Genomic DNA, 27,601 nt, shown 5'->3' on the forward strand with positions numbered 1-27,601 from the left:
CCCCAACCCTGTGCTCTCTGAAACATGTGCTGTGTCCACTCAGGGTTGAATGGATTAAGGGTGGTGCAAGATGTGCTTTGTTAAACAGATGCTTGAAGGCAGCATGCTGGTTAAGAGTCATCGCCACTCCCTAATCTCAAGTACCCAGGGACACAAACACTGCGGAAGGCTGCAGGGTCCTCTGCCTAGGAAAACCAGAGACCTTTGTTCACTTGTTTATCTGCTGACCTTCCCTCCACTATTGTCCTGTGACCCTGCTAAATCTCCCTCTGCGAGAAACACCCAAGAATGATCAATAAAAAAAAGAAAAAAAAAAGTGTTGGAGGTTAGGACTTCAACACAGGAATTTAGGAGAGAACAAAATTCAGCCCATAACACCAGGTAAATAGCCAAATGAATGGGTGCTGGTGAGAAGCACCAAGACCTAAATTCTTATTCAGACTCAGTCACTGCTCAGCCTCCTGATCACACTCCAACTCAAGTTGTCACCCATAAAATCAGAATAATGTCACCCTGTGCACTTACCTCCCTGGATTATTTTGAATATCAAATGTCCGATGAAAGTAAGAACTGCTACATGGCAGCAAGGCTTTGCTTTTAGATAATCCATCAGTGATAAGAGATGGCAAACTTTTTGTATGTTTCTCATAACCTTTTCTCTCTTTATAGGAGTAATATACACCCATTGTCCATCCTTTTCATACCATATAATTGAGATTATCCTGTAAAGAGCTATATAAGCTGCTTCTACATATCATAGTATATTGTATATTGGTTTCCTCAGGCTGCATAAATTACTACAGATTTGGTGGCTTAAAAAAACAGACAGTTATTCTCGTACAGTTCAGAAGAGAAGTCCAAATCAAGGCATCAGCAGGGTTTGTTCCTTCTGCGGACCCTGAGGGAAAATTCACTGCATACCTTTCTCCTAGGTTCTGGCAGCTTCCAGCAATCCTTGGCATTTCTTGGCTTGTAGACGCATCCCTGCAATCTCTGCTTCCGTCTTCACCTGGCATTCTCCCCGGAGTCCCAAGATTTCTTGTCTCTGTGTCCCAAATTTCCCTCTACTTTATTTTATTTTATTTTATTTTATTGATTGATTGAGATGGAATCTTGCTTTGTCACCCAGGCTGGAGTACAGTGGCGTGGTTTTGGCTCACTGCAACCTCCGCCTCCCAGCTTCAAGTGATTCTCTCTCCTCAGCCTCCTGAATAGCTGAGACTACAGATGCATACTGCCACATGCAGCTAATTTTTGTATTTTTAGTAGAGACAGGGTTTCACCGTGTTAGTCAGGCTGGTCTCCAACTCCTAACCTCGAGTGACCCACCCACCTTGGCCCCCAAAGTGCTGGATTACAGGCGTTAGCCACCATGACTGGCCCCCATATTTACTTTTTTTTTTTTTTTTTTTTTTTTTTTTTTTTTTTTTGAGACGGAGTCTTGCTCTGTCATCCAGGCTGGAGTGCAGTGGCATGATCTCGGCTCACTGCAAGCTCCGCCTCCCTGGTTCATGCCATTCTCCTGCCTCAGCCTCCCGAGTAGCTAGGACTACAGGCACCCACCACCACACCCAGCTAATTTTTTTGTATTTTTAGTAGAGACAGGGTTTCACCATGTTAGCCAGGATGGTCTCAATCTCCTGACTTTGTGATCCACCCGCCTCGGCCTCCCAAAGTGCTGGGATTACAGGCATGAGCCACCACACCCGGCCCCTCTATTTACTTTTAAAAGGACACCAGTCATTTGACTTAGGGTCAAGTCTAAATGCAAGATGATCTCATCTAAAGTTCCTTAACTCAATTACATCTGCAGAGACCCCGTTTTCCAAATAAAGTCATATTCACAGGCACCAGGGGTTAGAACATGGACATAACTTTTGAGGGACACAGTTCAACCCCCTACACATAGTATCATGTACACATTCTCAAGTTATTAACAATTCCTAAAACAATCAGTGTTTCAGAATATCTCCTCATGGGGCTGTGGTATGATGTATCTGACACTGCAGTTGCCAGACTCCTGTGATTCTGACCTCTTACATCACTGCAAAGCAATACCTGACTTTGCATATGCCCTGTGGTATTACAAGGGTGAGCCACCAGCTTGAGTCTTTATTGCCTGGGCCTTTATTTCTTTTCCTTTTTTCCATTAGTTGTTTTTTATTTTTATTTTTATTTCTTTTGAGACAGAGTTTCACTGTGTTGCCCAGGCTGGAGTGCAGTGGTGCAATCCTGGCTCACTGCAACCTCCACCTCCCAGGTTTAAGCGATTCTCCTGCCTCAGCCTTGCGAGTAGCTGAGATTATAGGCACCCACCACCAGCCTCGGCTAATGGTTGTATTGTTAGTAGAGACGGGGTTTCACCATGTTGGCCAGGCTGGTCTTGAACTCCTGACCTCAGTGATCTGCCCACCTCGGCCTCCCAAAATGCTGGGATTACAGGCGTGAGCCACCACACCTGGCCAGATTGTTTTCATTGTTTCTGTTTTTCTTATTAAATAAATGTTATATATCTAGCATAGGGATTTTAGAAAAGGAGCCCAGTGATGGTCCTCTCCTTGGTTCTCAACCCTGTGATCTTTGTGTTTTAACCCCTGCCCTGTCACTTTAGGGATCTGGAAGCGGGAAGGAGACATCTGCGAGTGCTCAGATGACTATCTCGATACACTCAGGGTGTATTTTCTGGGGTGACTGTAGGGGCATCTCGGTTCATTTGGTGGCAAATCCAACTTTTCTATTCCCTAACGAGGACTTTGCTGCCTTTATGATTTTTCTCTCACTGCCTGCTTTTGGAAAAATCTTCTGACAGTTATATTTACCAGTAGAACTAGAAGGGAATGCTTCAGTCTATCCTGTGTTTAGAGTCATGGAGTTGGAGGAGGTTTGGGTGGGAATCTGAGTGACAGCCAAGGAGAAGGAGATAGGGCCGTCTTGGGGTTTTCTGCAGTCTCAGACTCTGGGTCTTTGTATGACCCTTGGGAACATGAAGCAGCCAGGGAATGGAGCCAGGACCACTTTACCCCAGCAAGACTCCCAAGCTATATCTTCAAAGGTCTGAGGGACATGGTGCATTCACTTGTCTTCTGCTACCCACAGATGACCAGCTCTGTGAAGGAGGCATCCCCTGGCTTGGGTAGGCAGAAAGTGTTGGAAAGGAATTGAAGTAACATTTCAGTTTGAAGGTTTTGTAACAGATGGTGGTGGCAGCTGCTCTAGGAGAGACAAATGAAGTTAGTGAAATGGTCCTTCATTCAGTCTACCTTGTGCATCCATCCATTTAGCCAACTGTGTTGATACGTATGATGAACCAGGCCCCATGTCGCACACTGGGATGATAAAGAGAGAACACCTGGCCACAGCGTCTGGAAACTCCTTATCTAAGAAGAGGGACAGACTCATGCCCACATGATGAGTTCTGTTGAGTACCAAGGTAGCAGAAAAGGGGAGCTTTGAACTCCATTTGGGAGTAGCCAGGGAAGATGGCCTTTCTGCAAGATTCTTGAGGGAATGATCAGGCACTCAGGCCTGGGAGGGGAGAAGACATCAGACGTCAGGGGATGGTCAGATGCCTGTGCAGAAGGTAAAATGAAATCTGTCAGATAAAATCTACAAAAGAATAGCGGTTGGAGAGTTGTGGGCACAACAAATGCAAAGACCATCCTGGATAAAGTTAAGTTGGCAGGAAGCAAGAGAAAAAGGGGAAAGAAAGTATCAGTATGCAGTCGCTAGAAAGGATAGGACAAAATAACCCAACTTGGAAGGCCCCAGAAAGACAAATGATTCAAGAAGCACCGTCTGTGTCTGAGACGCTGTCCCTGCACAGCAGTGTTGTCCAGCTGGTGAGAGATGAGGATGAGAGGGAGTTTGAATCTGTTCGCTGCTCCTATCTACCTGTTGAAAATGTCAGAGCTGTGAGTCTGCTTCTGGGCTGGTGGCCAGGGTCTGTGGCTCCCAGCGCTGTAGTGTCCTGCCACGTTTGTCTCAGTTGGTAATTGGGTAGAAAACCATCTCCTGGGGCTTGGTGACCAGGGTATGAGGGCACTGAACACAGTGCCAGAGCTTCCAGAAGTGCTGGGGCAGGTGCATCCCTTGCTGACTTGGGGCCCCATTGAGGCTCTGCGTCTGTTCCTCATGACTCATGAATGTGTTCCTCATGACTGTTCCTCATGACTCATGTTCCTCATGACTCATGACTCATGAATGTGGCTGAATTGAGGGCTAAAGCCCTGGGTCTCTCTTACAGCATTGCTTTGGCATTCACCAGGCCAGGGCAGGCGTGAACGGTGGAATAGGGAGTGTGGTAGGATGAGGTGGAAGGTGGGGTGTCCTTTTTCATTCCCCAAAACAGCTTTCTTGAACTATCCACCAGGCTGCAGGGGGTATCGTTTACCTGGGGACTGTGTGGTGTCCCATCTCTAGGGAAGAACAATGTTGCCTCCTAGTGGCTGTGTCTGTCTTGGACACCGGTATCTGAGAACTGAGAACAATATTTGTTCCATAAATGAGGCATGAATATTACTCTTTAAAGATTCCCTGTTGAAGGCAGGCACAGTGGCTCACACGTGTAATCTCAACACTTTGGGAGGCTGAGGCAGCAGGATCACTTGGGGCCAGGAGTTTGAGAACAGCCAGGGCAACAAAGTGAGACCTCATCTCTACAAAAAAATTAAAAATTAGCCAGGCGTGGTACCACACGCCTGTAGTCCCAGCTACCCAGGAGGCTGAGGTGGGAGGATCACTTGCACCCAGGAGTCCCAGGCTGCCGTGTGTTATAATTGTACCAGTGCACTCCAGCGTGGGTGGTAGAGCGAGACCTTGTCTCTTTAAAAAAAAATAAAAAAGGCAAGACCATCCTGGCTAACACAGTGAAACCCCATCTCTACTAAAAATACAAAAAAAATTAGCCGGGCGTGGTGGCGGGCGCCTGTAGTCCCAGCTACTTGGGAGGCTGAGGCAGGAGAATGGTGTGAACCCAGGAGGCAGAGGTTGCCGTGAGCCAAGATTGAGCCACTGCACTCCAGCCTGGGCAACAGAGCAAGACTCTGTTTCAAAAAAATAAATAAATAAAAAATTAAAAAGGAAAGAAAGAAAGAAAGATCCCTTGTTGAAGCTGAATGCCCATGCCCAAATTCTGGCCTTCTCTCTACCTCCTGCTTTTGCAGTAGCTTTCTAATGAGCCTTCCTGACCTCCAGTCCTTGTCACTGAAAGCCCAGTCCTGCTTGTCTTGCTGTCTGTGTTCAAACACACAATAGCCCCTCATTGCCAGTAGCATAAAGCTGAATCTCTTACTGGACATGGAAAGTTCTCCGAGGTCTGATCTGTTCACCACATGCACCCATAGGCACCTCTGAACAATCCTTGGTTTCCCACCTTTCAGGCACACTTTTCTGTCTGTCTAGAACGCCCTCACCAGTCTAGCCAGGCCAGAGGTTTCCAGTTGTTCAAATTGTAATTCACATGGTGCTGTTTCAGTGAATCATGCTCATATCTGGGAATGACCTGAATTCTATCCCAGCTCTGATGTACCCACATGGTAACATTAGAGACAGTCATAATAGCAGCTACTGTGTATTGAGCACTTACTACACAATACACAGTATTGTGTAGTAAGATGGGCCAGGGGTGCACATCGCAAAACTTCAGGGGGTGCCATTTACATCGAATACAGAAGAGAGGCACTGCTGGCCACTGTGCCAAGACCTTCATATAGATAATCTCAGCCCTAACAGTTGGACTCTGTTACCGCCATTTTACGAAGAAGGAAACTAAGGCTACAAATGTTAAGTTTCTTGCCCAGGGCCACATAGCTAGTAAACAATTGGGCTGGGCTGTAGTCAACTCAGGTCTCTTTCCAAAGCCCATGGTCTTTCCATGGCACTCCGCTCCCTCCTTAATAGATGCTAAGTTCCGTGAGGGCGGGATCCCACTTTGAATTGTTTTTAGTCTTCCACCTCCTCCATTGAGCTTGATAAATGTATATTGGTCAAAATCCCCAGTCCTGTCTAGTGCCAGTTACACATCAGTGTCTGTAGTAGAGACCCTGGCGCTAGCATGAATTCTACCAAGCAGGCTAGACTTTACAATCAATCAATAGAATAAAAGGAAGGAAAATAAACAGTTCCTCCCAGCCCACTGAGTACTATTGTCTTGTCTCTTAGTACCACTACAAGGAAATGCTAGATCATGAGCTGGGGCTACCAGAGAGCTTCATAGACTTGACCCCAACACTTTAGCTGGATGACTTGGAGAAAATTACCCCAAAGTGTCTGCAGTGACTTCTGTGACCACCACCAGCTTCCCAAACCAGCCCATCCAACTCCCTTTTCCTGAGTGAGGTAAAAACTGGTAGAACCAAGGAATGCTGAATTTCCAAACGCCTCCTAAGGGAACTGAAACCGCAAATTGGCCACTTGGCTGAGAAATGCTCTCTTTCCCTCCAACACACACTTTCCTTTTCCTTTAGCTAAAGAATCCATAGATGAGTCTCACTTTGTGATACACGTGCTCCTGAAAGCTGTGTGGAATTGAGTCATTTTCTAAATTCACCAGGGAATCTTTCCATTTTAAAGAAAATCTCTAGTCAGTTATAAAACCAGATGCTATCAGAGACAGAAAGACCATTAGAGGTTTATCTAATTCAGCTTTCGTCTCATTTTACAGATGAGAAAACCAGAGAGGTTAAGTGACTTGGCCACAGTCACACAGCTCGTTAGCGATAGGAATTGACCTTAAGTCAAACAGAGCCTTAGGTCCTCTGATGCTGGTGCCAGTGCTTTCCCCTTTCCAAACCTCTTTCATAATGAAATCACCCAGCCCCTACCCGTGTCCCTATTCACTCCCACCAAAAAAATCCTCCATATAGTCTGTTTTACAAATTCATCCATTCTTCTTTCAGGGAGGGTTTCATCTATACTTCTGGCTTTGTCTGCTTCCAACTCCCTTTGGCCATTTGCACAGATCAGCTTTTCTAACAGAAAGGTGTGCAGAAAAAAGTTGAAATAGCAGGTCTGTTTTAGGATAAATAGTTGGGACGCTTGACAGCTTGCACCTGGTTTCCCCCAGACTTTACTCCATGCACCTTTTTCCATGCTATTTTTGCTCTGTAACCTTTTGCTCTAATACATTGTGCCTGTGAGTACAAGTATATGCTGAGTCCTGTGAGTCCTCTTAGCAAATCTTCACAATTGGGGTGCTCTTGGGGACCTCCAACAAAGAGGGAGAGGAAGCTTTCAGTCAAGGGTACAATCAAGCAGTCTCCTTTCTTAATTGAGGCAGGGATGATTAAGGTTTGTGGATGAATACTCTGAGGTCCTGCTCACCTGGGTTCCACTCCTGAATCTGCCATTTACCATGGATTTGTGGCAAGTTATTTTCTCACTCTGAGCCTCAGGATCTCCAACAAAGGGGTTAGTAACACTTAATGGCTTCGGGTTCTTGGAGGACGCCGAGAGATGCCCAGCATAGTCGGGGTGCTTGACCAGGATGTGCTCCATGGGCATAGGAACTCTGAGTTGTAGATGTGGTATCCCCACTTCTCAGAACAGGTCCTCCTGCAGCAAATATTTGTTGAATGTATACTTCAGGAGTGAATAAATGCCACCTAACATTGCTGCAGAAAGCACTTGAGCCCAGGAGGGACCGGAGATTATTGTCAAGCAAGATGAGTAAATTCCATATAAGTTTCTGTCTGAGCACTGGCTGGCTCTGGTTGCTGTGGGAGAGAACTTTTAATTGAACACAGTTGGGGGTATCTCTGCTTTCCCAGACCTTTTGCTGGGTCAGTTGGCACCCCTCCCTCTCTTAGGACATTGAGGCTTGTCTCTGGATTACCTTGGTTGATCTATTTCTGGATCTGTCTGTAAATTTGTCATAAAGGTAGACCCTGTTACCAAGTACATGTTCTTAATTAGCAAGACACATTTTGAATGGCTAAGTGGAACATCCCTTTTTGCAATCCCAGTGACCCATTTCCCAAGTGCTCTCTTTTGGCCTTATTTTTTTCTGCTTCTTGAACAAAGGAGAAGGGAGGAATGCAGCTATGTGCATATTTATTTGCTCTAGTGGTGGGCAAATGTTTAAATTCCTGCCATTAGGGGGTTTCTCTAGCTTGCTTTGCTTGTTAATGTTTTTTTTTAACAGGATAAATCATGTGCAAGTGTCATCGATAGACTAACAAGAGGTAGGCGGGCCATGGGAAAGTAGAATTTACCACCTCTCCAACAGTTCAAGGATACTGTTCTTCTAAGTTTTTAAACATTGGTTGGAATTGTGCCTTCAGTGGGGTGTGGGGGAGTTGGAGAGGCACCTTCATCCCAGACTGAAGGCCAGAAGCCTCGGGTTCCAGTTGTGTCTCAACCACTGAGTTGTCCCAGAGACTTTGGCATAAACTGCTTGACTTCCTCGGCCTCTGTTCTTCTTTTTGTAAAGAGATGAGTTCATCCAGAATGTTCTCTCGCATTCTGGCATTCTTAAAGAGTCCCAATTTTGAGCTCAGAGAATGCCACACCGACTGAAAGTAAGTCACACCTTTAAACATCTGGGGGACTTAAATTTGAAGAATGTGCCCATGATACTACCACCACTGATGTACCCAGCCTGCGGGTGAGCCAGGACAGGTAAATGGTGACCCACTGTTAGTGTCCAAGAGATGACTAGACCCCAGGTGGCACAGCCTAGGGGCTCTTGGACCCCACTTATTCCCTTTGTACCCAAGTAGCTTTCCTAAAGCATGTTCCTTAGAACCCTAAATCCACAAGCAGCTCCGCCTGTGGTCACATGAATTTGGGAGGCACTTTCCCAATCTTAGAAATCACAACAGAGGTTTAGAGAAGTCGTAGGGAAAAGAAATTGTTTGTTGTTGTCTAACCTGTGTTTCCTGAACTTAATTGACCAAAAACCCCGTTATTTTCCCCCATTCCATACTGCCTGTAGCCTCCCATGCAAACCCATTTCAGAACCTGCAGCTGCAGTCAGTCTGGAGTCAGGTAACTTAATTAGGAATCTGTTTCATGTCTTATCATTCAGTTCCTATTGGTTAATTTTCTTGGAACTTATGTCAGAGGGACATCCATGTGCATCCTAATGACAGCCTCATTTGAGACAAAATTTTCCATCATGGACAAACCAACCACCAGGTGACCCCAGGCAGTCTCCCCTGGCCTCTACCACAAGTCCCTCTCCCAGGAGCTCATGCTGTCTTTAGGCCCAGTCCATCTGTCTGTCTGCTTCTCTCTCTCCCTTCCTGTCCTCTTTCCTTGGGCAGCTCCTCCTCTTCCCCATTTCCCTGTTTTCCACCCTCTCACCCTTGCCCTTACTTTGAATTCTGCTGGGAAGAGGATGGCCTTTTACCCCAGACCCACAATCTTTCCAGTTCAGGCTGGTTCATTTGCCATCATTTGCTTTCTCATTGATTAGGAATTAATCAATGGCTGACAGTCTCCCCAGAGTGGATCACAGCTGTCTAGGAAATCTGCTGACCTAGAAAGATTTTCAGATGCTGTTAACAACCCACAGATCACGCTGTCAAGTATTTTCTTTCTTCAGCAGCTCTTGGCATGGCGAGCATGTGATTCTGCCCCTCTGCTCTGTGGCCTTTCAGTGACATTCATTATTTATCCGGGTCCTTTGAAGCTCTGCCTCAAAATGTTGCCAGAAATTCCAAATTATTTTCTTCCTTCTTGTTTAAAGAATTTCATCTAAAACTTTGTTTGGAGAGAGCCCGCTGAAGTCATAGTTATATTGACTTCCGCGTCTGTTCCCCAGCTCATCTTTGCTCCCTGTTTTCTCCCCACGCTGGCCTCCGTGCCTGGAACAAGTCAGACTTGTGTTATTTCCCAGCTGTGTGACCTTGAGCAAGTGGCTTAATGTTTCTGAGCCTTAGTTTCTTCCTCTGTAAAATAAGGATAATAATACGTACTTCACAGACTAGTGGTAAGGATTAAATGAGACAATGAGAGAATGCAAAGCACTTAGCCTAGTTCAAGAACATAGTTATCCATCACTTTAGGATACAGCAGGGGCCTCTTGTTCACCCCTGTTATTCCCAGGGGTACCCGCCTGGCTCATAGTAGGTGCGTAGCAAGATTTTTTTCAATGGAAACTAGAGTGGGATGCGCCTATCTAGAAAATCCTCTGTTGGAGCCTAGTCTTGGTCCTTAAAAGTCCTGGGCCTGCCTTCCCCCTGCCTTTAAGAAGCTGAGCCAGCAATAGTAGCATGTGGCCACCTGCAGGGCTCTGTGGAGGAAAGAGCTTTGAGCTGGGAAATTATGTTCTTAGATGAGTCATGTTCTGCCTCACCATTTCTTTAGTGGTTCTCAATCCTAGTTGCACATTAGAATCACCCAGGGAGCAGTTTTTAGAGACTCCATACAAGAGATTGACTCTGCTGATTCGAGGTAGAGCCTTGCGATGTGTCAGAAGTCCTTTGCTTTCGTTGAGAAGAACGTACTGAGTGGAAATTGTATAACCTCATCAACAGCTAAGCACCTGAAGGGATAAAAAAGACCGCCAGTAGTTGGCAGTCTTGGTTGAGGCTTCAAGATTGAATCCAAAGCAGCTTGTGATTCCTTTGGAGTGGCACGATCCCCAACTGAAGAGCTGTTTGCACATACACATTGTCACTGCAAACTCAAAGCCCAAGTTTGTTCGTATAGCCAGCTCTGCCCAGCAGGACCCTGGGTAGGGCCAGGTGCCTTGGCAGAACATGGATGGGGCAGTACAGGGCCACTTGGATCAGGTCCACCCATTTGCCATTGTTAGCATGAGCTGAAAGAAGTTGGGTCTCCCAAGGCAGTGCTGTCTCACTGCAGTAAACAGCAGTTTTCAGAAGATCTACGTCCTTGAAATATACACAGATTGGGTTTTGTTTGTTTACCCACACACAGCCTTCTCTTAGAGGGGAGTTAAGGTAAGGAAATGACTGTCTCAACACTCACACCCTGATGTGGCATTATTTGGCAACAATAACTTCTTCATCATCCCCTCCCCTCCTCATGGCACCCACCCAGCTGGCAGAAAATGACAAAGAAGGAAGATCAGCATTCATCATCTTCAGCATGATATGGTTTCAGAGATTTTTAGCATTTGATTTGTAACATTTCAGAAGGCAACATAAATCAAGCTGGTAATTTGTTTTGTCATGCCAAAAAAAAAGGAAAATCTGAATTCATTTGGGAGAACGTGTGTATGTCAGTCACTGCCTTTTCGGATCTGGTTGAAAAGCTGCAAATATTTTTCTCCACACAAAGTACATTCAGGTTTTGTTGATGATGTTGTTAGTACAGATCTCCTCTGGGGCACTGAGTAACCCTGGGGAGAGGATGGGAAACAGCGTAAGGGCTGTAATTTTCAGCCTGGAATAGAAGCAGCAATTTTAGGCAATTTAAACAATTCTATTAAGGGCAATCTTTTGGTCTCCTGCTGGAAAGAGAGGACCCCATTCAGAATGCTCCCAGTAATGCTGTAAGGGGCTGATGGGGTCTCCAGATTGTATACAGTTTCCTGCACCCCCGAAACCATCATAGAGGATCTCTGCCCCCTCATGCCTTTAAACGGGAACATTAATAATTTCCTGCTTAGTGCAGGATGTAGTCCAAAAACTCAAAATGAGTTGTCCAGATAAAGGGAGACCTCTGGGGGATGCCAGACAAACTTGGTCTTGTCAGAAGAGAAAAACTTGAGAGGGAGTTAATTGAAGAGTTTCCCACATTGCAGCTTGTGAGTGGTTCTGTTGCACTTTTGTTGATTTTTAAAATTTCTTTTTATTTAGTCAGTTTTTAAAGTCCCAAATGAACCATGGGGTTCTTGGCCCAGAGAACAGATGAACATTGGTTAGGCCAGGGAGTTATTTTCCAGCAAACTGCCCATGAGTTAAACTCCACTCTGTGGATTGGGGGTCATGATAAGGGAAGGGAGCCCCTACTATTTTGCGGGTCTCTGTTTTGAGTGTCTTAAAATTCTAGTGGAGTAGGAGCCATTGGGACCATCACAGGAAGATATAGCCCCTGGGTGGGAAGCAGGGTGTCTGTCTTTTGGAGGGAGCGGAGTGTCTCCATTTCAGTTGTTGCTGAGACAGGCAAGGTCTGGTGGTTGAGGAAACATCTTTTTCTCTCTGAGCCTCTTTTTGAGCTTAGATTATAAGGAATCTAGATCTGTCACGGGTAGATGCTTCCAGGTTCTGGGAGCAGAAGGCACTGCTACAAGGAGGCAAGTTGGGGACTCAGTAGAAGGTAACCTGTTGGTTAGTAGCTGTTAAGCAATTTGGACCCCAACCTACAATAAGAACTACTTTTATATCACAAATATACAGATAGGAAGTCATTCTACATTCAGCACACTGACGCAGGTATTTTTTAATACATTCTATTCCCTTCTTTTCGTTTTATGCTGGCCCTGACCCACTATGTTAGTTTCTGTACTTATTATACTATTTGGTTGAGACCTGATGTTGAAAAAACATTCCAGTGGGATAGTCTATGAAGATAGCCTCAGCACATGAGTTATGAGAGCTGCCTCAGCTGTGAGAGTTCCAGGCACGTCACTGTCCGGGGGTAATTCCCTTTGAGTTTCATTGAATTTTAAGGAAAAAGCCCCCTTGCTCTTCCTCAAATGCACCAAAGACTCTCTCACCCCAGGATCTTTGCACTTGCTGTTCTGTTCACTTAGAACACCTGTCTTCCATATACCCAAGGGTCCACCTTCAGCTCTTTATCAGGTGCCACCCTCTCAAGGAGAACCCCATCCCCATCCCCACCCCCTGTTTAAAATTGCAACCCATCACCAACCCCGCTCCCTCTTCGTTCCACTTACCATGTTCTGGGCTTTTTTTTTTTTTTTTTTGCCACAGCATTTATTATCTTCTCCCAAACAATATACCCTATAACTTTTTATTATATCTACTCTCTGTCTCTGCCCACTACCATGTAAATTCTGTGAGGGCAGGAATTTCTGTTCTGTATATCATCATATCCCATCAGCTGGAGCAGTGCCTGTGGTGTGACAGATGCTCACTGAAGACTTTGTGGAATGAATAAATGAATGAATTAATGCTGTTAAAATGATAGCCTCTTCTTACTACAACTGTCTTTTATTTTTTTTAATTGATACGTAATAATTGTACATATTTACAGGGTACAATGTGTTGTAATCCATGTATACGTTGTGTAATGATCAAATCAGGGTAATTGGCACATCCATCACCTTATATGTGTGTCATTTCTTTTGGTGACTACATTCAGAAAGGTCTAGCTATTTTGAAATATACAATACATTATTATTAACTATAGCTGCCCTACTGTGCAAGAGAACACCAGTTTTTCTAATTGTAATTTTGTACGTGTTGGCTGCTTTCTTAAATTGTGGAAATTAAAGGAAGGGCTGAACTGTTACTCAGATTTGAATAGAAATGAGGAAGAAGAAGAACAGTGAGATAAGGAGATAGTGACAGTGATACATGTTGACAATTCCATTGAAAAAGAACTTGGCCGGGTGTGGTCGTTCATGGCTGTAATCCCAGCACTTAGGACACGAAGGCCGAAGCATCGCTTGAGCCCAGGAATTTGAGACCAGCCTGGGCAACATAGTGAGACCCCCATCTATATAAAAATTTTAAAAAACTTGCTGGGTATGGTGGTGTTTGCCTGTAGTCCCAGCTACTGGAGAAGCCGAGGTGGGAGGATCACCTGAGCTCGGGAGGTTGATTCTGCGGTGAGCCGTGAGCACGCCACTGGACTCCAGCCTGAGCAACAGAGTCAGACCCTGTCTCTAAAAAGAAAAAGGAGCCAGATGCGGTGGCTCACTGCTGTAATCCCAGGGGAAGCCAAGGCAGAAGGATCACTTGAGGCCAGGAGTTCAAGACCAGCCTGGTCAACATAGTAAAACACCGTCTTTACAGAAACTAAAAAAAAAAAAAAAAAAAAAAAAGCCAGATGTGGTGACATGCTCCTGTAGTCCCAGCTACATGGGAAGCTGAGGTGGGAGGATTGCTTGAGCTTGGGAGGTTGAGGCTGCAGTAAGCCCAGATCATGCCACTGCACTCCAGCCTGGCAACAGAGCGAGGCCCTCAAAAAAAAAGGAGAACTCAGGGGACAAGAATCAAGGTGGCAAAGGCCTATGACCTTTGCCCACAGAATAACCACCCCTACCCTGGAGGGCCAGGACGGTTCCTTCCTCTCCTTCCATCCCAAGCCTGAGTCTTATGTTCCCTGCCCAGTAGTGAGTCCTCCGGCAACTCATCAGCAACACAGAGCCGCAGGGCTTTTGTTGGGACCCCCTTGAAAACACTCAGTCCCACGTTGCTGCACATTGCTAGTGGTTGATAAGACCGTTGCAGGAAAATTTATAAATCCGTGGCCTTACTGGCTGTGAGCGAGGCAGATAAGCCACAGTCTGACAGAAAGAAAAGCATCTCCCTTCCCTGTTCTTGCCTGAGATGCAAAGAATAAACCTGAATCTGTGTGGTGAATGAACGTCCTGGTGAAGTGAACGTGATAAAATTCCAGCTTGCTGTTTTGTGGGACGTATTGCAGGCACCGCATCTTTGTTCTCAGTCCCCTCTGCCCTTTGTGTGGGCCAGCCTCGAGGGACGTGGCCCAGTGAATCCTGGGGGAAAATCACGCTCACAGAAAGCCAGCGTGATTTCCCAGCCAGAGGAGATAAGGCCCGTGGGAGTGAATGGCAGCTTAGCGACCCCTGTTGCACCAAATCCTCCTTGAAATATTTAATTATAAGATACATGAATGCTTATCCCAGCAGTTATTTTTTCCTCTTAACCCATATTTAGCCTTGCAGCAAAAAATAAAATATGGTTCCTGGGAGTTTATCTTTCTTTTAATGAGGCTCTCAGGGGTCAGTTTTTTCCCTTAAAAAATTTTTGGCCCATCGTTCAACCCAGGAACTCTGCTTGTCAGAGAGGATCTTTGAATAAAATAATGCTGTCTGGTTCTTTTCATAGGTATCGTTTACCCTTTCATATTGGTTTTCAGTTTTAAAAAGTATTTTCACATAGAAGAAATCGGGACTGAAAATGCGTTAGTGACCAGCTCAAAGTCACACAATGACTTAGTGAGAACTCGAAATGGAAACAGGATCTTTTTTTTGGCGTGGGGAGGGACAGAGTTTCGCTCTTGTTGCCCAGGCTGGAGTGCAATGGCGCAATCTGGGCTCACTGCAACCTCCGCCTCCCAGGTTCAAGTGATTCTCCTGCCTCACCCTCCCGAGTAGTTGGGATTACAGGCACCTGCAACCACACCCAGCTAATTTCTGTATTTTCAGTAGAAATAGGGTTTCACCATGTTGGCCAGGCTGGTCTTGAACGCCTGACCTCAGGTGATCTGCCCACCTCAGCCTCCCAAAGTGCTGGGATTACAGGCGTGAGCCACCGCGCCTGGCCAGAAGCAGGATCTTGAAGCTCTCAGAATGCCCGTCTCTCCTTCTGTGCACAGTGAGGGCTTCCCATTCTTTCTGATTTCCCTTTCCTGTAGCAGAGAGGGGAAGATACTCCACATTAGTCAAGAGCTTTAGGGTACCAGGCACTGTGTGTAAAGTACATTTCTTATATTACCCCTTTGATTCCTCCCAGGAATCCTATGGCATCTATAATACTATCCCCATTTTCTAAATGAGGAAATGGAACTTCAGAGTGATTTTGTTCCAAGTAGAAATCAGGCTCTGGCAACTGCTTCCTGCTAGCAGGGTGAGATACAAACTTTTACAAATAGCAGACAGGCCATCATATAAATATATGATGTATTTATAAATACATACCTGTAGATATATTTCTAAATACATATCTGTAGATGTGTTTATAAATGTGGGGGAAACAGATAAAAATCCCTACCCTTGTGGAGTCTACATTCTGTTGATTCATTTTGGGATGGATGGATGGATGGATGGATGGATGGAGTACAACAATCTTCAGAGGCCAACTCCACTTCAGTCCCGGCAAATTCCTCTTACAGAAGAGCGGTAAGATACATTGGTAGACATATACAACCTGGGCTTCAGACCAGGGAAGTTTTATTTTGCCACTAAATTTAGCCACTGTATCAACACATCTCCCAGCTTACAAGATGACTGAGAACAAGTGTAAGTTCTTGAGGACACAAGCCCTTGCCTTAGTCAGCTTTGTGTGCCCTGCTGTACTTAATGCTTCATGGGTGTTCATTAAATGTTTAAATGAATGAGATGCATAATTCAGTTACGATGAGGCTCTCTGAGAATGAGTTAACATCTATCGAGAGTTGTGCAGTCCGCAGACTTAGAAATATCCAAAAATAATCACCCCTAGAGAGATCTCTGCAAATCAGTAATGAAAGAACTGAAGTAAAACTATAAATCATTCCGTTAACGGTTTTATACATTTACAAGTAAGTAATTTTGGAAGCAAAATTGGTGTATAAGCTGTATTTAGCCTCGATGTGCTAAGCAACTTTGAACCAAATATAAATTCCTGGCGTGGTATTTTTAAGCCACGGTGGGGGCAGGGTGCTGGGGAAAAAGTTGAGTTGGAGGAGCATCAAAGCTATTTTTGTAAGTTTCATCTACATTTTTAGAAAGATGCATTTTTGAAGAATTGGGATATCAGTCACTTCTCCCTGGCAGGATTCCTCATCAAGGGAGAAATGACAGCATGTCCGATCTTCCTTGAGTCTCTAAAGATCGCATTATTAAGATGGTTTCTGTCACTGTGCACCATGTCTGAGAACATGTCTTGGCACACCACCCTGTCCTTCGTCTCCTGATTTATAGCTTGCAATAGACTTGTTGAGTGTGAAGCTAGAACCCAGACAGAATGTTAATGCAGGGAAATGACATGTGAATCAGTGGTGCCCTGGGCTTTGAGTGCACATGACTGAGGGGAGGCCCAGTCAGCTGTGGCTGTGCTCCTCACATTAGCTTTGATTTGCTAGACATTGCATGAAGAATGAAGCAGAGCCTTAGCCGTGAGCTTCTCAGACTGGAGCTAAGCCGTGGTCCCTAAGTCTATAGCTTCCCACTGGAGACTGACTTAATTAGCCAGGATCCTGAGCTTGGCTAATGGTGGGCCCAGTGAATGCTTGATTTGCAATGGAAATGCCCAATTTGGTATGGAGTCTCCATTTTTAAAATGCATTGGCTAACTTTGCAGCTTCCCCCATCCCCTTCTCATGACAGTCTCCCTTTCTGGAATATTTCAAATGCAAAGGGGGAAACAGGGTTGTCGTTATATCTGGATCCTATCCACAAGGGCTCAGCAGCTGTGATGTTCAGCAGGCCAAATACAGACCCAAGAGACCAAACAGCTTCTTCCTTCCCCAAGCAGTTAAAACAAAGATCTGCTCACTGCCTTGCCTGTGTGTCTTCATGGGTGTTTGATATCAGGGTAAACTCTAGGGGCTAAAAGTGGGAGCAGAAAAAGCAATGCAAACGCATTAGGCGAGAAGCCAGGGCGGATCAGCAAAAGGTCTGGAATTATGGAAGGCTGAAGATAAGCAGTTTTGGTTGATTTCCAACACAGGCAGTTGCCTGCTTTAATGTCTGGATAAGAACTTGCCTGTAATTGGTAGATGGATTGCTTGGCTATAAATGGAGCCTGAAAAGAGTCTATTCCCTTCCAGCAATTAAACATCCCCCTGACTGCTGCCACTTTCTCCACTCTGATTATTCAGCAGACCCATTCTTCTTAATACACAGCACCGAGGTGTGGCTTAGCCCAGCCTGGTTTGAATTAGCTTATGGGATCCACATTAATGAAGCCTAGCCTTACTTCCCTGCATATGATGTGTGACTGGGTATAGTCAAGTGCCCAGTGTAGGTAAATAGATTTCGGAGAATGGTGATGTAAGATACCTACCAACCATATGTGGAAATCCTTTTCAGGATGGTTTCCCTCTGCAAGACTGTAAAGGTAGGAAATGCACTGCCTTTCCCACCCCTTCACTCCTGCACCCATTTGATAACCCACTTGAGTGTTTAGAACAGTCTTCCAAAGAGGGATGTGTGCAAGGTGATTGTTTAGGGAAGGAAGGGAGGGAGGGAGGGAGGGAAAAGGGAGAGAGAAAGGGAAAAGGGGAGGGGAAGAAGGGCAGGAAGAAAGAAAAGCTTTAGATTTGATATATAGATTGACGGGATCATGTATATAATGGAAATATACATATATTGGGGGAATAGTGTCTCAAATGGTGGAAGTTCACTGGTTTAGAGCACTGAATGAGCCACCTCAATTTTGCTCCCGTTTTCATCTTTGTCCCTAGTGCTGAGTGGCTTCAGTTTTCACTGCTTTGATCTATGTCCTGCCTGACTGGATTAAGAAAATAGAGACCTAGAGCTTCCAGTGGGAAGAGAGGAAATCGGTGACAGAACTGAATTAAGACATCTTTCTAGAAGGAGCCATTTTCCAGCCTCTTACCACTGCCCTGGGTGATCCTCTAGGTCACACAGGAGCTGATATCATGGTTGAGCCCTGGGAATCTCAGCCACGCTCTGTCCCTGTGCATCTCATACAAGCTTCCATGGTGATGAAAATTGTTAAGATGTCTTATGTGAAGCACATGGGCGTTGGGTTTGCTCATCACAAGCTGCCTGCTGCTGATGCTGTTTCACCTATTTAAAATACCCAAGTGTTGCTTTATTTAAAATTGAACAAGAGTCAGCCACTTAGAACATTTATCAATAAACTCATCACTCAAATGGAATTGTGCCCCTGCCCCTGCACTTGCATATGGTCTTAGATTGCTGCTCATTTCCAGGCACAGATGGCTTGCTTCAAAATTTTTTGCTTGAACAGGGTAAAAAAGCGAGAGTTGGTAGCTTTTAAGTGTACAAACTTGCCAAGAAAGGAAAATGCTGTGAGTGGGGATGATTGCTGGCAAGCAGCAGGGTCCGATATAATCCATGTCTGTCCATCCGTGTGTCTGTTCTTCAGCCCTGTGTGGCAGATCCCCTTCCAGTGAGTGAGCTTTAGCAAATGGAGTGTCTATGACAGCTATTTGAATCATCCTAGAATCTACTGGCTTAAAGCTGACAGCTCTGACTCTTCCTTTAACTTCTTAAGTGCAGTGTTTTGGACAGAGATAGAAGCTTTGCGAGCAGGCAGCCCGCCAGATTCTTCTATGTCCCAGATCTGGATGTTAGATTAGAAAATTTGATATTTACAAATGTGCTTCACCTTGAATTAGCCATGACCCAGTTGCTATTGTTTGTTGAAAGAGATATCTTTTAGAATTTTACTTATACAACTGACTTGCTTTTCAAAAGCACAATAAAATCTTATGTTCCCATTATAAAAGTACATATACTCATTACAGGATGTTTGGAAAATATAGAACAGGGAAAATTTTACCCACATTTCCTGCTTCCATAAATAATCACTATTAGCAGTTGGCGTATTTCCTCCCATATCCTTTTCCATGCCTAGGCAATGGAGGCTTTTTGTTCTTGCAACCGTGATACTTTTTATTCAGTTTTACATCCTACTTTTTTTCCCACTTATATTAATAAATATTTTCCCATGTTGTTATAAACTCTTAGTAAGCATTCTTAATGGTTGTATGATATTCTATTAAATGGGTGCATCTTATTTTACTTAGCCACACATCTATTGATGAACATTTAGATTTTGTCAATACATTGTTGTAGACGAAGTTGTGATGGCTTTAAACCTTTTTTTTTTTGCTTTCGTCTTTTGAATTACTTCCTTAGGATAGATTACCGTAAGATTTATATGAGGTATGAACACCTTTAGGGCCCATTACACTTATATTACTAACTTGTTATCCAAATGGATATCTGTTTACACCCCCACAAGCAATTTGATAGAACCTTTTTTTCATCACGTAATTGCCAACATAGGATATTATCATTTTAAAAAATCATTCTTGCACTGCTAGGCAAGAAATGGTATCTAATTGCAGCTCCCTTCTAAGTGTTGATTGAGCCTTTATTTAGGAAGGTCCTGCTGTGTTTTGCATAGTTCATTGGAAATTCTAGGAAAGTGCTCTTGAAAAAGGAAATTATTTATTTTCATTCTACTTTTTCAAACTTCTCACCTCCCCCTCCCACCCCCCAGTTTTAAGTCATCTTACATGAAGAAATATAAGACCAAATTACAGAAGCAGGGAATTAATGATCCAAAGATTCTAGTTAACAAGATGATCACCCAGGTTTCAAAAAATAAGTGATCTCATTTTTATGGCTTAAATATTTTAGTAACCGTTGAGTGCCTACTGTTTATATTTCTTTTCTAGGCTGACTGGCTTGCTTCCTCCCTCCCTCCCTCCCTCCCTCCCTCCCTCCCTTCCTTCCTTCCTTCCTTCCTTCCTCTATTCCATCCTCTCCTCTCCTCCCTCCTCTCCCATCCTAGACAGCTTAGGTGAAGGGCTGACAGAGGGAAATTGACTGGCTAATCTATGTGCAGTAGCCCCTGGTTCCTGCTCTTTCCGCTGAACATGATTTATAGTTGTTTGGCAGAAGGTCAAAATCTGATTCCATAGAGTGGGAATGCAGGGGGAAATATTTGATTTCTTTGACACAGTTCATTAAAAATTCATACATATGGATCTGGAAATGAAACATTGCTCCATGTCAACATGAGTTACAGTGGGAGCCTAGAGCAAGACATGAGTATTCAAGTGAGACACTGTCACCAGGTAATCACATCGGCATGGCAGTGCCTCTCAGTGAGACATGGAAGGGGGAAAGGTGACCTGGACTCTGGAGGGTGGAAATGAAATTTTTCTCTTTTGCCTAAAGGCTTTCCTTGTAAATAGAAGCCAGTTTGTTAGAAAACCTCTGTTACAAAGAGCCCATTTCATTCATGTATTCTTTTGTCCATTTGTTTGACAAATATTTATTTATTTTCCACTATTGGTAAGGTGTATATTGATTAATAAGAGAGATGACTTATTTCAAATTTCCCTGTTATTTCTACTTTGTTTCTTAATTCTTCCTCTTTGACCCTTTACTTTAGAGCTATCTGACTTTTACAATGTCTAGACTTCAAGCCTTTTATTATAAATACTGTAAATGGTTGGAAACATGATCTTCTAGCCCAGTACTTCTCAAATTGTAATGTACACACAAATCATCTGGGGATCTGTTAAAATGAAGATTCTGATTCAGTAGGTCCAGGATGGGGCCAGAGAGAATGCATGTCTGTCAAATTCCCAGGAGATGCCGCTGCTGCTGATCCAAGCACCATTTGAATAGCGAGGCTCTAGTCTACCATATCTGTACTGGGTTGAATAATGTTCTCCATAAATTCATAACCACCCAGCACCTGTGTATGTGACCTTATTTGGATATAGTTTTTGCAGATGTAATCAAGTTAAGATGGTTTTATGGTCAACATTCTTCAGGAAAATGGAATTAATAGAATAGGATGTAGATAGAATGATATTAATTTATTTTAAGGAATTGGTTCATGCAGTTGTTCGGGGCTAGCTAGTCCAAAATCTGCAGGGCAGGTCAGCAAGCTGGAGACCAAGAGAAGAGTAGATGTTGCAGTCTTGAGTCAGAAGGGAGTCTGGAAGCAGAATTCCTTCTTTTCCCGGGAACCTCAGTCTTTTCTCTGAAAGCCTTCAACTGATTGGATGAGGCCCGCCCACACTATTTGCTTGAACTCAGAGATGTTAATCTCATCTGAAGAAATATCTTCACAGCTGCATCTGGACTGGTGGTGGACTAAAAGCTGATTACCATAGCCTAGCTAAGTTGACACATAAAATTAACCATCACGATGAGGTCATACTGGATTAGGGTGGGCCCTAAATCCAATATGTCTCATGTCCCTGTAAGAAGAAGGAATTTTGGACACAGAGACACAGACTCACAGGACCACGTGAAGACAGAAACAGAGATTGAGAGCTAAACACAATTGATCCAATGGAGGTAAAGAGTAGAATCATTACCAGATGCATCTACAAGCCAAGGAGCACCCAAGATAGCCAGAAACCACCAGCAGCGAGGAAGAGACAAGGAAGGACTCTTTCCTAGGGCCTTCAGAGGGAGCACGCCCTGCTGACAGCTTGATTGCAGACTTTGGGCCTCCAGAATACATTTCTATTGTTTTCATGCCACGCAGTTCATGGCACTTTGTTACAGCAGCCCTGGGAAGCTAGCACGGTATCTAAGACATAGGCCTACAACAGACCTAAGAACATCATCACAAAGCCAGAATGCTTGACTTTTCTGGTAATTTGCCACCTTGACACATGGATGCAGTGTCTGGAAGGTGCACCAACTAAAATGCTTTGTCATTCTCATAGAAGAGAAGTTCAGAGTCACTGTGGGTGGGAATGAATTGGTCAGGAATCCCCTCCTCTTTCTTAGACTCCCGAGTTGGTCTGAAAACGCTCATCGATATTCTCCTCTACTTTCTCTTCTGGCCCTGCCTTCAGGTTGCAGGGCAGCCCGGTGACAAATGAGGAGGAGCTGAATTTGCTTTTTATTTGAACAAACTATACTAATTGAAATGGACCCCACTGGGATTGCTGTCTGCCATAAGTAATGTATATTTCATTAACATTTTCTTTAAAAACCAACAAGATCATAAAGCTAAGATTGCTTTAGCCTAAATGCTGTCCAGATTTAATATGCATGATATAACCTCCTGGCATAGCACTAAGCTTGAGCATGCAATTTTTGGTGCCTCCCTGATGCTTGTTTTTAACAGGAGGAGAATCAATACGGGGTGAGGGTTAGACCAACAACGTGAACTGTCAAGAACCAGAGAAATAATTAAAGTTATAATATTAACAAAACAACATGGTTGTAGAGGGGATGGATAAATGATTTTATTCCGTTTTTTTCTTTCTTCTTTTTTTTTTTTTTTTTTTTTACTGCCTCAGGCATATTTGTTGGCATTTTCAGAAGGAGATAGAATCAGGAGTTATTTTTCTGCTAGGAAATGTTTAAGTAAATCCCAGTTGTGATCAATAGGGTAGCCTCCACAAAGCAAGCAAAGCAGTAAATGTCACTCATTTCACTTTTTAGCAACAGTTGTGTGTGTGTTAGAGCCGAAGTCTGAAACCAGTGACTTCAACATTAGCCAGGGAGTATCGACCAAAATCGGTGGTGAGGAGATAAAATTGCCCTGGAAAAGTTGGGTTCCCCTTAACAATGGTAGCATGGAGAAATCAGACTTCCAGATGTTGTGATTTCTCAGCTCTCTAATTCATCAAATTAAGATGACTTTCAGGACTGCCTGGAGATGGACTTCAGACAGAACACAGCCCACATCATGCTTTGAGCTGAACACGTTTAAAAGAGTTTCACATTGAGGTTGAAGCATGGCTGTGCAGAATGACATATGAGGAATGACTGTATTCCCATTATAGGAGTCACCCTGCTTTTTTACTCTCCCAGAAGAGTTGTCTTATTTCTGATTTGGGTGAGTGCAGACTACAGTTGTGGAGCATTAGCTGGACCCCTGCTCCTCCTGGGGCAAAACAAATCCTTCTTATTGATCTGTGAGCTTTTTTATTGATACATAATGATTGTAGTGTTTATGGGGTACATGTGATATTTTGACAAATGCATACAATGCATAATGATCAAACCAGGGTAATTGGGATATCCACCACCTCAAACATTTATCATTTATTTCTGCTGGGAACATGCCAAATCATCTCTTCTAGCTGTTTTGAAATATATAATTATTGTTAACTGTAGTCACCCTACTGCGCTGTTGAATACTAGGACTTATTCCTTCTGTTTAACTTTACGTTTGTACCTATTAACCAAACTGTCTTTATCCCAGCCTCACCCCTGCCACCCTTCCCAGCTTCTGGTAACCATCATTCTACTCTTTCCCTCTGTGAGATCAATTTTGTTTAGCTCCCACATGTAAGTGAGAACATGTAATATTTGTGTTTCTGTGCCTGGCTTATTTCACTTAACCTAATGTCTTCCAGTTCTAGTTCCTGTCATTTGTTACTGCAAATGACAGAATTTCATTCTTTCTGTGGCTAAATAGTATTCCATTATGTATACATACCACATTTTCTTTATCTATTCATCCATTGATGGGCACTTATGTTGATTTCGTATCTTGGCTAATAGAGCTGCATAAGCATGGGAGTGCAGGCATCTTTTCGGTATCCTGATTTCCTTTCCTTTGAATATATCCTCAGCAGTGAGATTGTTGGATCATGGGGGTAAATCTATTTTTAGGTTTTTGTATTTTTTAAGTTTTTTAATTCAATAGGTTTTTGGGGAACAGGTGCTGTTTGGTTCCATGGATAAGTTCTTTAGCGGTAATTTCTGAAATTCTGGTACACCTATCACCCGAGCAATGTACACTGTACCCAATGTGCAGTCTTTTATCCCTCACCCTCCTCCCACCCTTCCCTCTCTGGATCCCCAGAGTGCATTATATCATTCTCACGCCTTTGCCTCCTCATAGCTTAGCTCCCACTTGTAAGTGAGAACATATGATGTTTGGTTTTCCATCCCTGAGTTACTTCACTTAAAATAATGGTATTGAACTCCATCCAGGTTGTTGCATATGCCATTATTTTGTTCCTTTTTATGGCTGAACAATATTCCATGGTGTGTATGTGTGTGTATATATATATACACATATATATACACATATATGTACATATATACACACATATATATACATATATACGTATATATGTATATATGTACGTATATACGTATATATACATATATATACACACACACATATATATCTGACATTTTCTTTATCCACTTGTTGATTTATGGGCATTTGGGCTGGTTCCATATTTTTTCAATTGCAAATTGTGCTGCTATAAACATGTATGTGCAAGTGTATTTTTTATATAATGACTTCTTTTCCTCTGGGTAGATACCCAGTAATGAAATTGCTGGATCAAATGATAGATCTACTTTTAGTTCTTTAAGGAATCTCCATATTGTTTTCCATAGTGGTTGTACTAGTTTACATTCCTACCAGCGATATAAAAGTGTTCCCTGTTCACCACATTCATGCCAACATTTATTATCTTTTGATGTTTTAATGATGGCCATTCTTGCAAGAGTAAGGTGGAATCACATTGTGGTTTTGATCTGCAGCTCCCTGATCATTAGTGATGTTGAGCAATTTGTCATACGTTTGTTGGCCATTTGTATATCTTCTTTTTTTTTTTTTTTTGAGACGGAGTCTCCCTCTGTTGCCAGGTTGGAGTGCAGGGGCGCGATCTTGGCTCACTGAAACCTCCGCCTCCTGAGTTGAAGCGATTCTCCTGCGTCAGCCTCCCGAGTAGGTGGGACAACAGGCACATGCCACCATGCCCAGCTAATTTTTGTATTTTTAGTAGAGACAGGGTTTCACCATGTTGGCCAGGATGGTATCGATCTCTTGACTTCGTGATCCACCTGTCTTGGCCTCCCAAAGTGCTGGGATTATAGGCGTGACGTTTATCTTCTTTTGGGAATTGTCTATTTGTGTCCTTAGCCCACTATTTGATGAGATTATTTGTTTTTTTCTTGCTGAATTGTTTGAGTCCCTTGTAGATTCTCGATATTAGTCCTTTGTTGAATGCATAGTTTGCAAAGATTTTCTCCCATTCTGTTGGGTTGTGTGTTTACTCTGCTGATTGTTTCTTTTGCTATGCAGAAGCTTTTTCATTTAATTAAGTCCCACTGTTTATCTGTTTTTGTTGCATTTGCTTTTGGGTTCTTGGTCATGAAGTCTTTGCCTAAGCCCATGTCTGGAAGGGTTTTTCTGATGTTATCTTCTAGACTTTTTATGGTTTCAGGTCTTAGATTTAAGTCTTTGATCCATCTTGAGTTTATTTTTGTATAAGGTGAGAGATGAGGATCCAGTTTCATTCTTTTACATGAGGCTTGTCCATTTATCCCAACACCATTTGTTGAATAGAATGTGCTTTCCCCACTTTATGTTGTTGTTTGCTTTCCCCACTTTATGTTGTTGTTTGCTTTGTCAAAGGTCAGTTGACTGCAAGTATTTGGCTTCATTTCTGGGTTCCCTATTCTGTTCCATTGGTCTATGTGCCTGTTTTTCTACCAGTACCATGCTGTTTTGGTGACTATAGCCTTATAGTATAATTTGAAGTTGGATAATGTGATGCCTCCAGGTTTGTTCTTTTTGCTTGGTCTTTCTTTGGCTATGAGAGCTCTTTTTTGGTTCCTCATGAAATTTAGGATTGTTTTTTCTAGTTCTTTGAAGAATTATGATAATATATTGATGGGAATTAGATTGAATTTGGAGATTGCTTTTGCAATATAGTCATTTTCACAATATTCTACCCATCCACAAGCATAGGGTGTGTTTCCATTTGTTTGTGTAATCTGTGATTTCTTTCAGCAGTGTTTTGTAGTTTTCCTTGTAGAGGTCTTTCATGTTCTTGGTTAGGTATATTCCTAAGGTGTTTTTTTGTTTGTTTGTTTTGCAGCTATTGCAAAAGGAGTTGAGTTCTTTATTTGATTCTCAGCTTGGTCGCTGTTGGTGTATAGCAGTACTTCTGATTTGTGCACATTGATTTTGTATCCTGAAACTTTACTGAATTTATTTGTCAGATCTAGGAGACTCTAGAAGATCCAGAGTCTTTAGGGTTTTTTAGGTATATGATCATATCATAAGTGAAGAGCAACAGTTTGACCTCCTCTTTGACAATTTGGATGCCCTTTATTTCGTTCTCTTGTTTGATTGCTCTGGCTAGGACTTCCAGAACTATGTTGAATAGAAGTGGCGGGCATCCTTGTCTTGTTCCAGTTCTCGGGGGGACTGCTTTCAACTATTCCCCATTTAGTATAATGTTGGCTGTGGGTTTGTCATAAATGGCTTTTATTACATTAAGGTATGTCCCTTCTATGCCGATTTTGCTGAGGGTTTTAATAAAAAAGGGATACTGGATTTTTGTCAAATGCTTTTTCTGCATCTATTGAGATGATCATATGATTTTTGTTTTTGATTTTGTTTATGTGATGTATCACATTTCTTGACTTGCGTATATTAAACCAGCCCTGCATCCCTGGTATGAAACTCACTTGATCATGGTTGGATTATCTTTTTGATATGCTGTTGGATTCAGTTAGCTATCATTTTGTTGAGGATTTTTGCATCTATGTTCATCAGGGATATTGGTCTGTAATTTTATTTTTTGGTTATGTCCTTTCCTGGTTTTGGTGTTAGGGTGATACTGGCTTCATAGAAAGATTTAGGGAGAATTCTCTATTTCTCTATCATTTGTAATAGTTTCAGTGGGATTGGTACTAATTCTTCCTTGAATGTCTGATAGAATTCAACTGTGAATCTGTCCGTGCCTGGACTTTTTTGGTTGGCAATTTTTTAATTATCATTTCAATTGGGCTGCTTGTTATTAGTCTGTTTAGAGTTCCTTTTTCTTCCTGGTTTAATCTAGGAGGGTTGTATATTTCCAAAAATTTATCCATCTCCTCTAGCTTTTCTACTTTGTGTGTGTAAGGGTATTCATAGTAGCCTTGAATGGTCTTTTGTATTTCTGTGGTATCACCTATAATATCTCCCATTTCATTCTTTTTTATTATTATTATGCTTTAAGTTCTAGGGTACATGTGCACAATGTGCAGGTTTGTTACATATGTATACATGTGCCATGTTGGTGTGCTGCACCCATTAACTCGTCATTTACATTA

At 43.1% G+C, this 27,601-nt stretch overlaps 1 protein-coding gene across 3 annotated transcripts in view, besides 4 other annotated features; it reads left to right on the forward strand.

Annotated features, from left to right (window-relative positions):
• LDLRAD3 (low density lipoprotein receptor class A domain containing 3) overlaps nt 1-27,601 on the forward strand; it is a 288,075-nt gene that overhangs the window by 201,644 nt on the left and 58,830 nt on the right. The window lies entirely within an intron of this gene.
• Nucleotides 3,573-4,772: an enhancer, noted in NCBI's record as "P300/CBP strongly-dependent group 1 enhancer chr11:36170828-36172027 (GRCh37/hg19 assembly coordinates)". NCBI's record gives its function as "activates an origin of replication core promoter dependent on BRD2, BRD4, P300/CBP, MED14 and CDK7 cofactors, with strong dependence on P300/CBP, by STARR-seq in HCT116 cells {active_cell/tissue: HCT116}" and the evidence as "EXISTENCE:reporter gene assay evidence [ECO:0000049][PMID:35650434]".
• Nucleotides 3,712-4,285: an enhancer, noted in NCBI's record as "H3K27ac hESC enhancer chr11:36170967-36171540 (GRCh37/hg19 assembly coordinates)". NCBI's record gives its function as "activates a minimal SCP1, AML or CMV promoter by ChIP-STARR-seq in naive H9 embryonic stem cells {active_cell/tissue: H9 hESC(naive)}" and the evidence as "EXISTENCE:reporter gene assay evidence [ECO:0000049][PMID:30033119]".
• Nucleotides 4,165-4,344: an enhancer, noted in NCBI's record as "active region_4630". NCBI's record gives its function as "activates an Ori minimal core promoter by ATAC-STARR-seq in GM12878 lymphoblastoid cells {active_cell/tissue: GM12878}" and the evidence as "EXISTENCE:reporter gene assay evidence [ECO:0000049][PMID:35858748]".
• Nucleotides 7,652-7,821: an enhancer, noted in NCBI's record as "experimental_21355 CRE fragment used in MPRA reporter constructs". NCBI's record gives its function as "activates a minimal promoter by MPRAs in K562 erythroleukemia cells, with activity observed for the non-introgressed 11:36174992 variant allele {active_cell/tissue: K562}" and the evidence as "EXISTENCE:reporter gene assay evidence [ECO:0000049][PMID:34662402]".

Source organism: Homo sapiens, chromosome 11, assembly GCF_000001405.40.
Source record: "Homo sapiens chromosome 11, GRCh38.p14 Primary Assembly".
Lineage (NCBI taxonomy): Eukaryota > Metazoa > Chordata > Mammalia > Primates > Hominidae > Homo > Homo sapiens.